General features: G+C 34.5%; 1 long non-coding RNA gene across 1 annotated transcript in view; it reads left to right on the top strand.

Annotated features, from left to right (window-relative positions):
• Positions 1 to 14149, top strand: part of LOC101928563 (uncharacterized) — a 33969-nt gene extending 19820 nt beyond the window's left edge. The window contains exons 5-6 of the long non-coding RNA XR_001748189.1: positions 242 to 244; positions 14138 to 14149. This is a non-coding gene — a long non-coding RNA (uncharacterized LOC101928563). The remainder of the gene's footprint in view (positions 1 to 241; positions 245 to 14137) is intronic.
• Positions 14150 to 14961: the final 812 nt, after the last annotated feature.

Below are 14961 nucleotides of genomic sequence, written 5' to 3'. Positions count from 1 at the left end.
TAGGGGAAGGGGGAGGGCACCACATCAAGGGAGCACTCTGTGGGACAAAAGATAATCTGAGCAGCATCCCTTGAGTCCCAGATCTTCTCTCTGACATAATCCACCCAAATGTGATGGAATCAGATAAAGAATTCTGGTAATAAAACAAGCTTCTTTAACACCTTCAAAAAATCACAACAGCTCACCAGCAAATGGATCCAAACCAAGATGAATTCTTCGAATTTCCAGAGCAAGAATTCAGAAGGTTATTAAGCTAATCAGGAAGGCACCAGAGAAAGGTGAAGTCCAACTTAAAGAAATCAAAAATATGATACAGGTTATGAGAGGAAAGGTCTTCAGTGAAATAGACAGCATAAAAAACAATCGCAACTTCTGGAAATCAAGGAGACACTTATAGAAACGCAAAATGCAGGCTGGGCGCAGTGGCTCACACCTGTAATCCCAGCACTTTGGGAGGCCAAGTTCAGGAGTTCGAGACCAGCCTGGCCAACATGGTGAAATCCCATCTCTACTACAAATACAAAAATTAGCTGGGTGTGGTGGTGGGCACCTGTAATCCCAGCTACTCTGGAGGCTGAGGCAAGAGAATTGCTTGAAACCGGAAGGGGGAGGTTGCAGTGAGCTGAGATCATGCCCCTGCACTCCAGCCTGGGCAACAAGAGCAAAACTCCATCTCGAAAAAAAAAAAATCCAAAATGCACTGGAAAGTATCAGAAATAGAATCAAAAGAATCAAACAAGCAGAAGAAAGAACTTCAGAGCTCAAAGACAAATCTTTTGAATCGATCCAATCCATAAAAGACAAAATAAAATAAATAAATAAATAAATAAATAAATAAATAAATAAATAAAGCCTCCAAGAAGTTTGGGACTATATTAAACATCCACACCTAGGAATAATTGGTGTTTGGATACATCAAAATGTTTGGAAAACATATTTGAGAGAATAATTGAAGAAAACTTCCCCAGCCTTACTAGAGATCTAATCATCCAAATACAGAAGGCTTAAAAAATACCTGGGAAATTATTGCAAAAAGGTTATCACCTAGTCATACAGTCATCAAGTTATCAAAATTCAAGACAAAGGAAAGAATCCTAAGAGCCATGAGGCAAAAGCATCAGGTAATGTACAAAGGAAAAACCTAAAACCTATCACAGAAAAAGCAGAAATCCTACAAGCTGGAAGGGACTTGGGTCCTATTTTTAGCCTCTTTAAACAAAACAATTATCAGTCAAGAATTTTGTATCCAGCTAAACTAAGATTCACAAATGAAAGAAAGATACAATTTTTCTTCCAGACAAACAAATGCTGAGACAATGAACCACTGCCAAGCCAGCACTACAAGAACTGCTAAAAGGAGCTCTAAATCTTGAAGCAAATCCTCAAAATACACCAAGATAGGACCTCCTTAAACCATAAGTTTCACAGGACCTATATAAGAATAACACAATGAAACAAACAAAACAAAACAAGATATTCAGGCAACAAATAGCATGATGAATAGAATAGTATCTCACTTCTCAATACTAATGCAGAATGTAAATGGCCTAAATTCTCTGCTTAAAATATATAGAATGGCAGATGGGATAAGAGTTTACCAACCAAGTTTCTGCCATCTTCAGGAGACTCACCTTACTTATAAGGACCCATATAAACTTCAGGTAAAGGGATGGAAAAAGGTATTCCATGCAAATGGACACCAAAAAGAAGCAGGAGTAGCTATTCTTATATCAGACAAAACAAACTTTAAAGCAACAGCAGTTAAAAAGAACAGGGACATTATATAATGATGAAAGGACTAGTCCAACAGGAAAATATCACAATCCTAAATATATATGCACCTAACACCAGAACTCCCAAATTTATAAAACAATTGCTACTAGACCTAAAAAAAGGTATAGATGGCAACAGAATAATAGTGGGGGACTTCAATACTCCACTGACAGCACTAGACAGGTCATCAAAACAGAAAGTCAACAAAGAAACAATGGACTTAAACTATACCCTACAACAAATATACTTACTAGATATTTACATAACATTCTACCCAACAACTACAGAATATACTTTCTATTCATCAGCACATTGAACATTCTCCAAGATAGACCATATGATAGGCCACAAAACAAGTCTCAGTAAATTTAAGAAAATCAAACCTATATCAAGTACTCTCTCAGACCACAGTGGAATAAAATTGGAAATCAACTCCAAAAGGGATGCTCAAAATGATGCAAATACATGGAAATTAAATAACCTGCTCCTGAATGATTGTTAGGTCAAGAATGAAATCAAGATGGAAATTTGAAAATTCTTTGAACTTAATGACAATAGTGACACTGCCTATCAAAACTTCTGGGATACAGAAAAAGTAGTACTAAGAGGAAAGTTTATAGCATTAAATGCCTACATAAAAAAAAAAACTGAAAGAGACAATAGACAATCTATTGTGTTTCACACCTCATGAAACTGTAGAAACAGGAGCAATCCAAACCCAAACCCAGTAAAAGAAAAGAAATAATAAAGATCAGAGCAGAACTAAATGAAATTGAAACAACAACAACAAAACAATACAAAATATAAATGAAACATAAATCTGGTTCTTTGAAAAGATAAATTGAGAGACCATTCATGAGATTAACCAAGACAAGAAGAGAGAAGAAGCAAATAAGCTCAATTAGAAATGAAACAGGAGATAATACTACTGATACCACAGAATTAGAAAAGATTATTCAAGGCTCCTGTAAGCACCTTTACATGCATAAACCAGAAAACCTAGAGGATATGGATAAATTCCTGGAAATAAACAACCTTCCTAGATTAAACCAGGAAGATATAGAAACTCTGAACAGACAAATAAAAAGCAGTGAGATTGAAATGGTAATTTTAAAAAAATGCCAACATAAAAAGAAAGTCCAGAACCAGACAAATTTATAGCTGAATTGTGTCAAACATTCAAAGAAGAATGGGTACCAATCCTGTTGACATTATTTCACAAGATAGAAAAAGAGGGAATCCTTCTTAAATCATTGTATGAAGGCAGTATCACCCAAATACCAAACCAGGAAAGGACATAACAAAAAAAAGTAAACTACAGACCAATATCCCTGATGAACATAGATCAAAAAATCCTCAACAAAATACTAGCTAACAGAACCCAACAGCATATCCAAAAGTAATCCACCATGATCAAATGGGTTTCATACCAGGAATGCAGGGATGGTTTAATATCCACAAGTCAATAAACGTGATACACCACATAAGCAGAATTAAAGACAAAAATCACATGAGTATCTCAATAGTTGCAGAAAAAGCATTTGGCAAAATCCAGCATCCCTTTATGATTAAAACCTGCAGAAAAATTGGCATATAAAGGACATACCTTAAGGTAATAAAATCCATCTATGACAAACCCACATCCAACATTATACTGAATGGGGAAAAGTTGAAAGCATTCTCCCGGATAATTGGAACAAGGCAAGGATGCCCACTTTCACTACTTCTACTCAACATAGTACTGGAAGTCCTAGCCAGAGCAATCAGAAAAGAGAAAGAAATAAAGAGCATTCAAATCAGTAAAGAGGAAGTTAAACTGTTGCTGTTTGTTGATGATATGATTGTATACCTAGAAAACCCTAAACACTCCTCCATAAAGCTCCTAGAACTGGCAAATAAATTCAGCAAAGTTTCTGGATATAAAATTAATGTATGCAAATTAATAGCTCTGCTATATACAAACAGTGACCAAGCTGAGAATCAAATCAACAACTCAACCCCTTTTACAATAGCTGCAAAAAAAGAATACTTAGAAATATACCTAACCAAGAAGGTGAAAGACTTCTACAAGGAAAACTATGAAACACTGCTGAAAGAAATCATAGATGACACAAACAAATGGAAACACATCCCATACTTGTGGATGGGTAGAATCAATATTGTGAAAATGATCATACTGCCAAAAACAATCTACAAATTCAGGACAATTCTCATCAAAATACCACTGTCATTCTTTACAGAATCAGAAAAAACAATTCCAAAGTTCATATGGAACCAAAATTGGGCCCACATAGCAAAGCAAAATAAAGAAATCTGGAGGCATTACATTAACTGACTTCAAACTATGCTATAAGGCCAAAGTCACCAAAATATCATGGTACTGGCATAAAAATAAGCATGTATACCAATGGAACAGAATAGAGAACCCAGATATAAAGCCAAATATTTACAGCCCACTGATCTTCGACAAAGAAGACAGAAACACAAAGTTGGGAAAGGACACCCTGTTGAACAAATGGTGCTAGGATAATTGGCAAGCCACACGTAGAAAATGAAATTGGATCCTCGTCCCTCACCTTATACAAAATCAACTCAAGATGGATCAAGGACTACATACAAGACCTGAAACCATAAAAATTCTAGAAGGTAACATTGGAAAATTCTTCTGGAAGTTGGCTTAGACGACAACTTTATGACCAAGAACTCAAAAGCAAATGCAAGAAAAACAAAGATAAATAGGTGGGACTTAGTTAAACTAAAAAGCTTCTGAACAGCAAAAGAAATAGCAGAGTTAACAATTAAACTAAAAAGCTTCTGCACAGCAAAAGAAATGGCAGAGTTAACAGAAAACCCACAGAGTGGGAGGAAATCTTTACAATCTATACATCTGAGAAAGGACTAATATCCAGAATCTACAAAGAACTCACAAATCAGTGAGAAAACACCAAAGAATCCCATCGAAAAATGGGCTAAGGACACGAATAGACAATTCTCAAAAGAAGATATACAAATGGCCAACAAACAAAAGGAAAAATACTCAACATCACGACGAATTATCAGGGAAATGCAAATCAAAATCATAATGCAAAACCATCTTAGACCTGCAAGTATGACCATAATCAAAAAATAAAAAAAAAAATAGATATTGGCCTGGATGTAGTGAAAGGGAACACTTTTACACTGTTGGTGGAAATGTAAACTAGTACTCCCATGGAAAACAGTGTGGAGATTCCTTAAGGAACTACAAATAGATCTACCATTTGATCCAGCAATCCCACTGCTGGGTATCTACTGAGAGGAAAAGAAGTCATTATACAAAAAATATATTTGCACATGCATGTTTATAGCAGCACAATTTGCAATTTCAAAAATATAGAACTAGCCCAAATGCCCATCAATAAATGAGTGGATAAAGAATATATGCTATATATATACCATGGTATACTATTCAGCCATAAAAAGGAATGAAATAATGGCATTCACAACAACCTGGATGGAACTGGAGACTATTATTCTGAGTGAAGTAACTTAGCAATGGAAAACCAAACATCATATGTTCTCATTCATAATTGGGAGCTAAGCTATGAGGACACAAAGGCATAAGAATGATACAATGGACTCTGGGTACTTGGGAAAAAGGGTGGGAAGGGGTGAGTGATAAAAGACTACACAATGGGTGCAGTGTACACTTCTTGGGTGATGGGCACACCAAAATCTCAGAAATCACCATTAAAGAACTTATTCATGTAGCCAAACACCATCTGTTCCCCAAAGACCTATTGAAATAAAAAATAAATTAATAAAAACCAACTGAGACCACATTAGGTACCTAATTCATCAATGTACAGATGTCATCACAAGCATCAAGAACTGTCAGGGAATGTGAACTCAACAAATATACAAAATAATGTGACACAGACCAATGCTAAAGCAAGGAAAATCTGTCATCCCTGAGACAAAGAATTCAAAATAGCTATTTTAAAGAAGCTCAACAACTTCAAGAAAACACAAGAAATCGGTGTAGAAATGTATCAGAGAAATTTAACAAAAAGATTGAAATAATTTCAAAAAAGCAAACAATTTTGGAGCTGAAAAGTACCATGAATGAAATTTACAAATGCAGTAGAGAGCATCAACAGTAGAATTGATTGGACAGAAGAAAGAAGCATGAGCTCAAAGACAGATGATTGGAAAATACACAGAAGAGAGAAAATAACAAAACACGAAAAGAAATAAAGGTTACATGATCTACAGGACATCAAAAGTTCTAATATTTGGGCTAATGGAGTTAATGAGGAAACTGAGAAAGACAAAAGGATAGAAAACATATTAAAAGAAATAATAATAGAGAGGTTTCTAAGCCTGGAGAAATATATAAGTATTCAGGTGCAAGAAGATCAAAGTTTACCAATCAGATTAAAGCAAAATAAAAATATCTCAAGACATATTATAATCAACCTCTCAAATTTCAATGACAAAGAGATGATCCTAAAAGCAGTGAGAGAAAGGAAGCAAATCAGATATGAGTGAGTTAAAATATTCTTGGTGGCCGGGCAAGGTGGCTCACCCCTGTAATCCCAGCACTTTGGGAGGCCAGGTGGGTGGATCACGATGTCAGGAGATTGAGACCATCCTGACTAACATGGTGAAACCCCGTCTTTACTAAAAATACAAAAAAATTAGCCAGGTGTGGTGGCGGGCGCCTGTAGTTCCAGCTACTCAGGAGGCTGAGGCAGGAGAATGGCGTGAACCCAGGAGGCAGAGCTTGCAGTGAGTCGAGATTGCGCCACTGCACTCCAGCCTGGGTGACAGAGTGAGACTCCGTCTCAAAATAAATAAATAAATAAATAAATAAATAAATAAATAAATAAATATTCTTGGCAGCAGACTTCTCAGCAGAAACCTTATAGGCCAGGAGAGAGTGAGATAATATATTAAGAATAATGAAGGAAAACACACACACACACACACACACACACACACACACACACACACACACACACACACACACCTGCCAACCAAGAATGCTGTTTGCAGCAAGTCTGTTTTCCAGAAATGAAGGATTGATAAAGACTTTCCTAGACAAAGAAAAGCTGAGGCTTTTCCAGACAAACAAAAGCTGAGGAAATTTACTATGACTAGACCTGTACTACAAGAAATGTTAAAGAGAGTTCTTCAAACTGAAGGAAAAAACCACTAATGTGATCATTATGCTAATATTGTAATGGTGGTGCATAAGCCACTTTTATCCTTCTTAAGAAGAATACAAGGCAAAATATTAAAATTATCACTGCAAAAAACTTTTAAGGGACAGGAAATATAAAAAATGTAAGTTGTGACGTCAGAAATTCAAAATGTAGGACTAGAAAGGAATTAATGTGTGCACCTGTTTTATAGTTTTTTTGTGATCAAGGTTGAATTGGTATCAGTTTTAAATAACTAGTTATAACTATAGGATGTTTTTTGTAAGCCTCATGGTAAAAAGTAAAAACCTATAATAGAGACATTACAAATTAAAAGCAACAAATTAAAACATACTCCAAGAGAAAATCAAATAATTACAAAGAAAAGCTATAAGAAAGGAAGAAAGAGAGGAGTTAAAAAAAAAAACAAAACAGAAAGCAAATAACAAAAGGCAGTAGTATGTCCTTAACTATCAATAGCAACATTGGATGTAAGTGGACTAAATTCTCTAATTAAAAGACATAGACTGGCTGAATAGATTAAAAATATGTGACTACTATATGCCATCTATGGAAACTCACTTTACCTGTAAAGACACACATAGGCCAAAAGTGAAGGCATGAAAAAATATGTGCCATGCAAATGGAAACAAAAAAAAAAGCAGGAGTAGCTACACTCATATAAGACCAAATAGACTTTATATCAACAACTGTAAAATGAGATATCAAAGGTTATTACATAATGATAAAAGGGTCAACTCAGCAAAAGGATATAATACTACTAAATATATATGTGTATGTAAACATAAACATATATACATATGTACCCAACACTGTAGCACCCAAATACATAAAGCAAATATTAATAGATCTAAAGGGAGAGATAAACTGCAGTACAATATATTAAAGGAATTCAGCACCCCACTTTTGTCAATGGAGAGATCATTCAGACAGAAAATGAACAAAGAAACATTGAAGTTAAACTATATTCTGGACCAAATGGTCCTAATAGACAGTTATCGAACATTGTATCCAGCTTCTCCAGAATATGCATTCTTCTCATCTGCACAGAGAACACTGTCCAGGATACACCATTTGTTAGGCCACAAAACAAGTCTCAACAAATTTAAGAGTCAAAATTATATCAAGTACCTTTCCTGATCGTAGCAAAATAAAACTATACTCAACAACAACAGGAACTTTGGAAACTGTAAAAATACATTAAAATTAAACATGTTTCTGAATAACCAAGGAGTCAATGAAAAAATATAAAAGAAAATTAAAAATGTTTCTCTTAAAACAAATAGAAACATTAGAACCTATGGGATACTGCAAAAGCAGTGCTAAGAGGCCTTATTACAATAAACACCTACATAAAAACCATAAAAAAATTCAAATAACCTAATGATGCACCCAAAGGAACTACAAAAAAAGTGAGAAAAAAATGCAGAATTAATACAGAAACTAAATAATAAAGTTCAGAACAGAAATAAACAAAATTAAGACTGAAAAAAACAAAAGATCAAAAAAGGTTTTATAAAAGATAAACAAAATCAATAAACCTTCACCTAGACTAAGAAAAAGAGAGAGAAAACCAAAACAAAAAAATCAGAGATTAAAAAGAAAAAAGTACAACTGATACCACAAAAATACAAAGAGATCATTAGAGACTACTATGAACAATTCTACTCCAGTTTTACTAGACTCTGATTAATAAATATTTCCAGGTATTAATTTTGTTTTTATATATATTAAAATTTTATTTGGTACTTAGAATATGGCATCACATTTTATGAATACTAAAGGAGTACTTAAAAAGTGATACAGTTTATATTTATAGGACATCATTAGGATATATGGTCTCATATATCCTTATTAATTTTTGGTCTATTTTATCAATTATGACCTGAGGAGATGAATTAAATTATATGACAAGACATTTCTCTCTGTTTTATTGTATTGCTATACTTTATTTTTAACTAATAAATATTGATTTATTTAAATTGGTGCATACATAGTCATTGTTGTAAGATCTGCATGGGAAATAACCATTTTATATAAAATAATATTATTATTCTGAGCAGTTTTAGAAAAGATGTTTCTTTATCTTACATGTCTGATAATTTAATGTGCCTAATCTTGTTGACTGTTCTTTCTTACTCTTTTGTGCATTGTGGTGCACACTTACAACTTTCTTCTTTTAATTTTCAAAAATGTTTCTTAAATTACATATTTCAGTATGTCTTGTCTTTATTTCTATGATGGATTTCTTTTTTTATTCTGCTTTTATTGAGCTTTGAAGCTCATAATTCCCCCCTACCGACTTTAACACCACATGCTGGCTCTCACTGAAGAGTATCTCTTCTTCCATGCCTCCCTAACTGACTGTTTTTTCCAAATATATTGTGTCTATCTGATTTAATTTTAGCCTTACTTTCCCCGTTTCTCAGAGTTTTATTTGTCAAAGTATGTTCAGGGAAGACTAAATAGTCTAACAGCTTGTGCAACTATTTACTTTTTCAAAATTATTGGAGAAAACCCAAAATAAAAAATTTGGTTTCAACACGTTGAGTTTAGGTATCTGCAAGGCATATAATCAGAGCTGTCCACCGGATACTTGGTGATATAAGGTAACTACTTAGGGAGAAAAATATTTTCACATATAAAAATGATGCAGTAACTAGCACTGAGAAAGTGGGCTTAAGAATATAAATGAGAAGAATATACACAAAAGGAGCATATTGCCTGGAAAAACAGGTGGTTAACAGGTGGATGTTCACAATCTAACTAATCAAGCATTATTCAAGTATAAAATACCTAGAGAAGTTAGAGGATAGAAGGGGTAAACCTCAAGCAGATAATAATGTATGTCATATATATGTCGTAAATTCAAATTTAATGTCTTCCTGAGTCCCATCATAGTCTGTGTCTTCATGGAAAATAAAGGAATGAGAACACTACCAATGCAGAGAAACTTAATCACTTAATAGTAACCAGGCATGAAAAAATGTTTAGAGATTTGCTTGCATTGTCTCATGCAAGCAAAAAGAAATATAAAGAGTCATAATAGGCCGGGCACAGTGTCTCACACCTGTAATCCCAGCACTTTCGGAGGCCGAGGCGGGCGGATCACCTGAGGTCAGGAGTTTGAGACCAGCCTGGCCAACGTGGTGAAACCCTGTCTCTACCAAAAATACAAAAATTAGCCAGGTGTGGTGGTAAGCCTGTAGCCCAAGCTCCTAAAGAGACTGAAGCAGGAGAGTCGCTTGAACCCAGTAGGCAGAGGTTGCAGTGAGCCCAGATAGCACCACTGTACTTCAGCCTGGGTGACAGAGTGAGACTCTGTCAAAAAAAAAAAGGTCATAATTTATCACATTGTGGTCAAAACCATATAAGGGTGAATATTTTAACAATCTAAAGTGGGTAAAGTGGGAAAGATTTGAGTTAAAGTTGTCCCGGGATGGTAGATATAAAGCAGGACTTTCCTTGGCACACCTGGGATGCGTGGTCACCTAATTTTAAGGCACTTAATAAGGTACATCATTAGTGACATGGGTATATCAGGTGGTGATAATTCCATTTTACTCGATTAATATCAACCATAACTCTACCTTTTTATACATCCAGCTCTCTTACTTGTAATACGTGTTTATATTACTCCTTGGTTTCTAAGTAGGCTTTCCTGCACAAAAATAGTATGTGTGCTTATTCAGGTGACACTGCTTTCTAACTCATCACACAAGCTGATTAGCCAGTATAAATAAGCGCATTGCTTTTTTTGACATACAATTCATCCTTTTAGGGTTTGGGGTAGCATAGATAGATTTCTTAACAGCTTCTGGTAAGTTGATGCAATTTTGTTGCTGAGCGTGAATATACGAGGCAGGAAATCTTGGCATATTCAGGGAATAATGAGTAGAGCAATACTGCTGGAGAAGAGCTCATGAAGTTGAATTTTGACATCAGTGATCCAGAATTCTTTCTTTTTTTCTTTACTGATCCAAAATTTTTAAGGGATGGCTCTCAGCCTTGTAGCCAGAGCAATGTTTCTTCATCCCCATGAAACATTAGCAGAGAAATTATACCCAAGGTTTCAACCTGGTCATTGCCGCTCCCTGCTATCACTGTGCAAACTATCATTTTCTTCTGAACGTTTTTCCACACAGAAAAAACATCATTTTTTTTCTGAAGTTCTTTTCATGTAGACTGTGGTCTCTGAAAATCTAATGAAACCTCTGTTTTCCTTGTTATATTCTCAGTCCTCCATTCTTTGCACATATTTTCAAAATTTATTCTTGTCCTCTGTATCTGTGAAAAGTGAATAGCCCAATAAACTCTGAGGTTTAGGCATTCTTCTTTTTTATTGCATTGTTGGTAGTTCTTATCCCTAGCCAGACATGTTAAGTGACAGACAGTGATAGTGGAGGTAATAAGGCTACCTTAATTCTAAACCAAAGTAAACAGGCTGTCATAAAAATATGGAATTGAATAGATGACAAATTCTCTCTCTGAAAGCAATTATTTCTGAACCTCAGATCTAATAATCTGCAATTCTGAAAGCTTAGGGAAGTGCTCATTTGTGGCTCAATCAATTTAAAACTAAAATCTGCATGACGGTACAGATAGCAGCTGAGAGAAAGGTTTTTTTCCTCTGCTCTGAAAAAATAACAGACATCTTTTGTAATATCTATTGGCTTTCAATTTATTACAACAATGGTATATTATGCAATCCTCTATATCATCAAATAATAGCTTCCCTGACTAGTATGACCAAATTTTTGTGCAGGAATACAAAGGTAAATAATGAATAAAATAATGCCCTTCCCCAGAGAAAGGCATATGAGTCCTATTAGGCAAATATTTGTTAAAAGAAATTTAGCTCTGTGTAAAATTGTATTTCTTAAATAATATATTTAATAGGAGGAGTATCGTAGTACATATGAATAGCCTTATTTGATTATGTATTTGAAAATGGCTTGCTAAGAATGGCATAGAAGAAATGAATGGTTATGTATAATAAACCTATTATACTATGAAATAATTGTAAGTGGAAACAGGTCAGTATATTTTGAAGAGCTATCATGAGTCAGAATTAAATATGTTATAACTTATAATCCCAAACCAATGACTAGCTATTATTTCCATTTTAGCTTCAGGAAAAAGTAGGTCTTGAGTTGTAAAATCCTTACCTAAGATGACATTAAGAAAGTGGAAGGGTCAAGATTCAAGCACTTATCAGTCATATTCCAAAGCCCAGGCTTAGTCCACCATATCATCTCTACTTACTGAGTTATGTGATAGATTGAGTCCAAAATAAACTTCTCATATTAGCATAATTGAGTAAATATAGATTTTTTAACAATATAGTTACCCTTAGAAAAATGTATTTATTAATGAAAATAATTATTAAATGTCTAATTCCATAAAATGGAAAACTGAAAAGTAAAAGTAAAAATAACTATGCCTAGAAAGTGAAAACAATTATGTTAGTGTTCTTCACTTGATACTGAATTAAGTAGCTAAGAGTAGATGTGCCAAGATTATGTATACAGGTGAATGCCCTCTGTTCTCATTGTTTACCTTGAGCCCCTAAAATAATGACTTTTTACATTATATAAACTCAGAGAAGTCGAAACCTAGAAAGAGTTAAATTTGTACAACACATTCATTTTGTCAATACAGAAATGCATACTTGGGGAATTAATGTGAGTCACCTAAGATTTAATAAGGTTGAGAAAAAAACTGAAAACAAACTGATAATTCTTATTTAATATAAAGTAGATTCGAATTTTCTTAAACTCTAAAAAAATCCCAATATTTTGTTAAGATGGAGAGTTAATATTGAGTGAGTGAACAGAATATTGCTTAAGTCTAATGACACATAACTTATATGAAAATGTCTCCTATAAATTGTGTATTTCATATATCTTTTTGTTCAAACTTGAATTGCTATGGGTTGTCTAGTAGTACTTTCATTCCATTACTTTATTACTTTTCTTCTTTTTCCTTAGGCTGCAACTATAAGTGGTGTATTAGTCTGTTCTTGGCATGGCCATAAATAACTACCTAAGACTGGGTAATCTATAAAGAAAAGAGGGTTAATTAGCTCCTGGTTCCACAGGCTGTACAGGAGGCATGGCTGGGGAGGCCCCAGGAAACTTAAAATCATGGTGGAAGATGAAAGGGAAGCTGGCAAGTCTGACATGGCTAGAGTAGGAGGAAAACAGAGTGGGGGAAGGTGCTACACATTTTTAAACAATCAGATCTTGTGAGAACTCATTCACTATCACAAGAACAGAAAGGGGGAAATCTTCCCCCATGGTCCAATCATCTCCCACCAGGCCCCTCCTCCAACACTGGGGATTACAATTCGACATGAGATTCTGTCAGGGACACGATTCTAAACCACACCAACTGGGTACTATATTATATAATACAGTATATAACTGTAATCTAGAATTAGATAAAGAGTTTAAGTGCTAGAATTAGAGAGTTTAGAAAGGCAAGATGTTGCTTGGGAATGGTTTACATTACAAAGTACAGCTATACAGGAACACATAAGGAGTTTGGTAGACAGTAAGTATGGTCCTGTGATAGATATATGCAAGATTACAAAATTGTTTACATGATTTGAAGGTGGCATTTATTGCTTAGGTATATTATATATATATATATTCTACTTAGGAGACGTAGCATTAAGTTCAAGTTTAAAAGTGAAACAGAGAGCATACTCTGAATTACTAGAAAAATTACAATGGTTTCAGCTTTACTCTAAAGAGTAAACTTTATATTTGTGTTCACCAAAGTGGAACAACACTATAGAGAAGGACTAATTCCAAGGAGAGTTTAGTAGTACAACATATGATAATAAAGTGCTTAGTGACTTTATTATGACACCTGTCCTTATAAGCCCTCTACTTACATTAACTTATTTAAGACTCAGAGTAATAGTAGAAGTTGGTTATATTTATCACCCCAATTTATGAATGAATAACTGAGGCATACAGAGGTTTTTACTTCTGGATTTCTGTAAAATCACTCCATTATTTTTCTTGAAAATATTTAGATCACTAAATTTTGAGTACCCCCCCATCTTAATAGTCTCTGAATGCTGCTTGCAAACAGAAAAGTTATAGTAACCTTTGCATTGCCTTTATTTTATGTTAAAATATGTTTTATAGATGAAGCTGAAACTGACAGCAGATGGTGGTTGGAAAGAATCCAATATTTTTCCTTTCTCCGTCATGTAATAGTTTTTACTATCCTCTCCTCACTTCACAGATTCATCCCATTAAAATAAATTTTCAAGAAATTTAACTAATGAAGCTATTTTTACAGATATATACTTGGTATATGTTTTTAAATATATAAAACAAACTTAAGGCCCATGTTTCAATTGTAGATCAACCATTTCTCTTACGTATTACCATAATGGTCACTTGCCTACTATTACTCTTGCCTTTACCATCCTTAGTCTTTAAATGATAATATGAAATATGAACAGTGATTATTCATGTTTTCATTCTAAAGGACTCTAAAAGTTACATGAAGCATTGCCTCTTTATTTCAGAAGAAAGAAAAACATTCTCAACTAATTAGAGATATTGTAACGTTCAAATGATAGTAAAGTTGAAACAGACATTATTTTTTATCAAGCAATATAAACACTTTTGATCATCAGGCATGGTACAAAGCCATGAGTACAGTAAGGCTTGATGTCTCAAAGAGTAGTGTAATTTCCCTTTTAGGAAGAATTAATTTTTTTTTTTTTGAGACGGAGTCTCACTCTGTTGCCCAGGCTGGAGTGCAGTGGAGCCACCTCAGCTCACTGCAAGCTCCGCCTCCCAGGTTCAAGTGATTCTCCTGCCTCACCCTCCAGAGTAGCCGGGACTACAGCCATGTGCCACCACGCCCGGCTAATTTTTGTATTTTTAGTAGAGACAGAGTTTCACCATGTTGGTCAGGCTGGTCTCGAACTCCCGACCTCAGGTGATCTGCTGGCCTC

Source organism: Homo sapiens, chromosome 11 (genome assembly GCF_000001405.40).
Source record: "Homo sapiens chromosome 11, GRCh38.p14 Primary Assembly".
Taxonomy (NCBI): domain Eukaryota; kingdom Metazoa; phylum Chordata; class Mammalia; order Primates; family Hominidae; genus Homo; species Homo sapiens.
The sequence above is the reverse complement of the archived record's forward strand: the minus strand, read 5'-3'. Positions and strand labels throughout refer to the sequence as shown.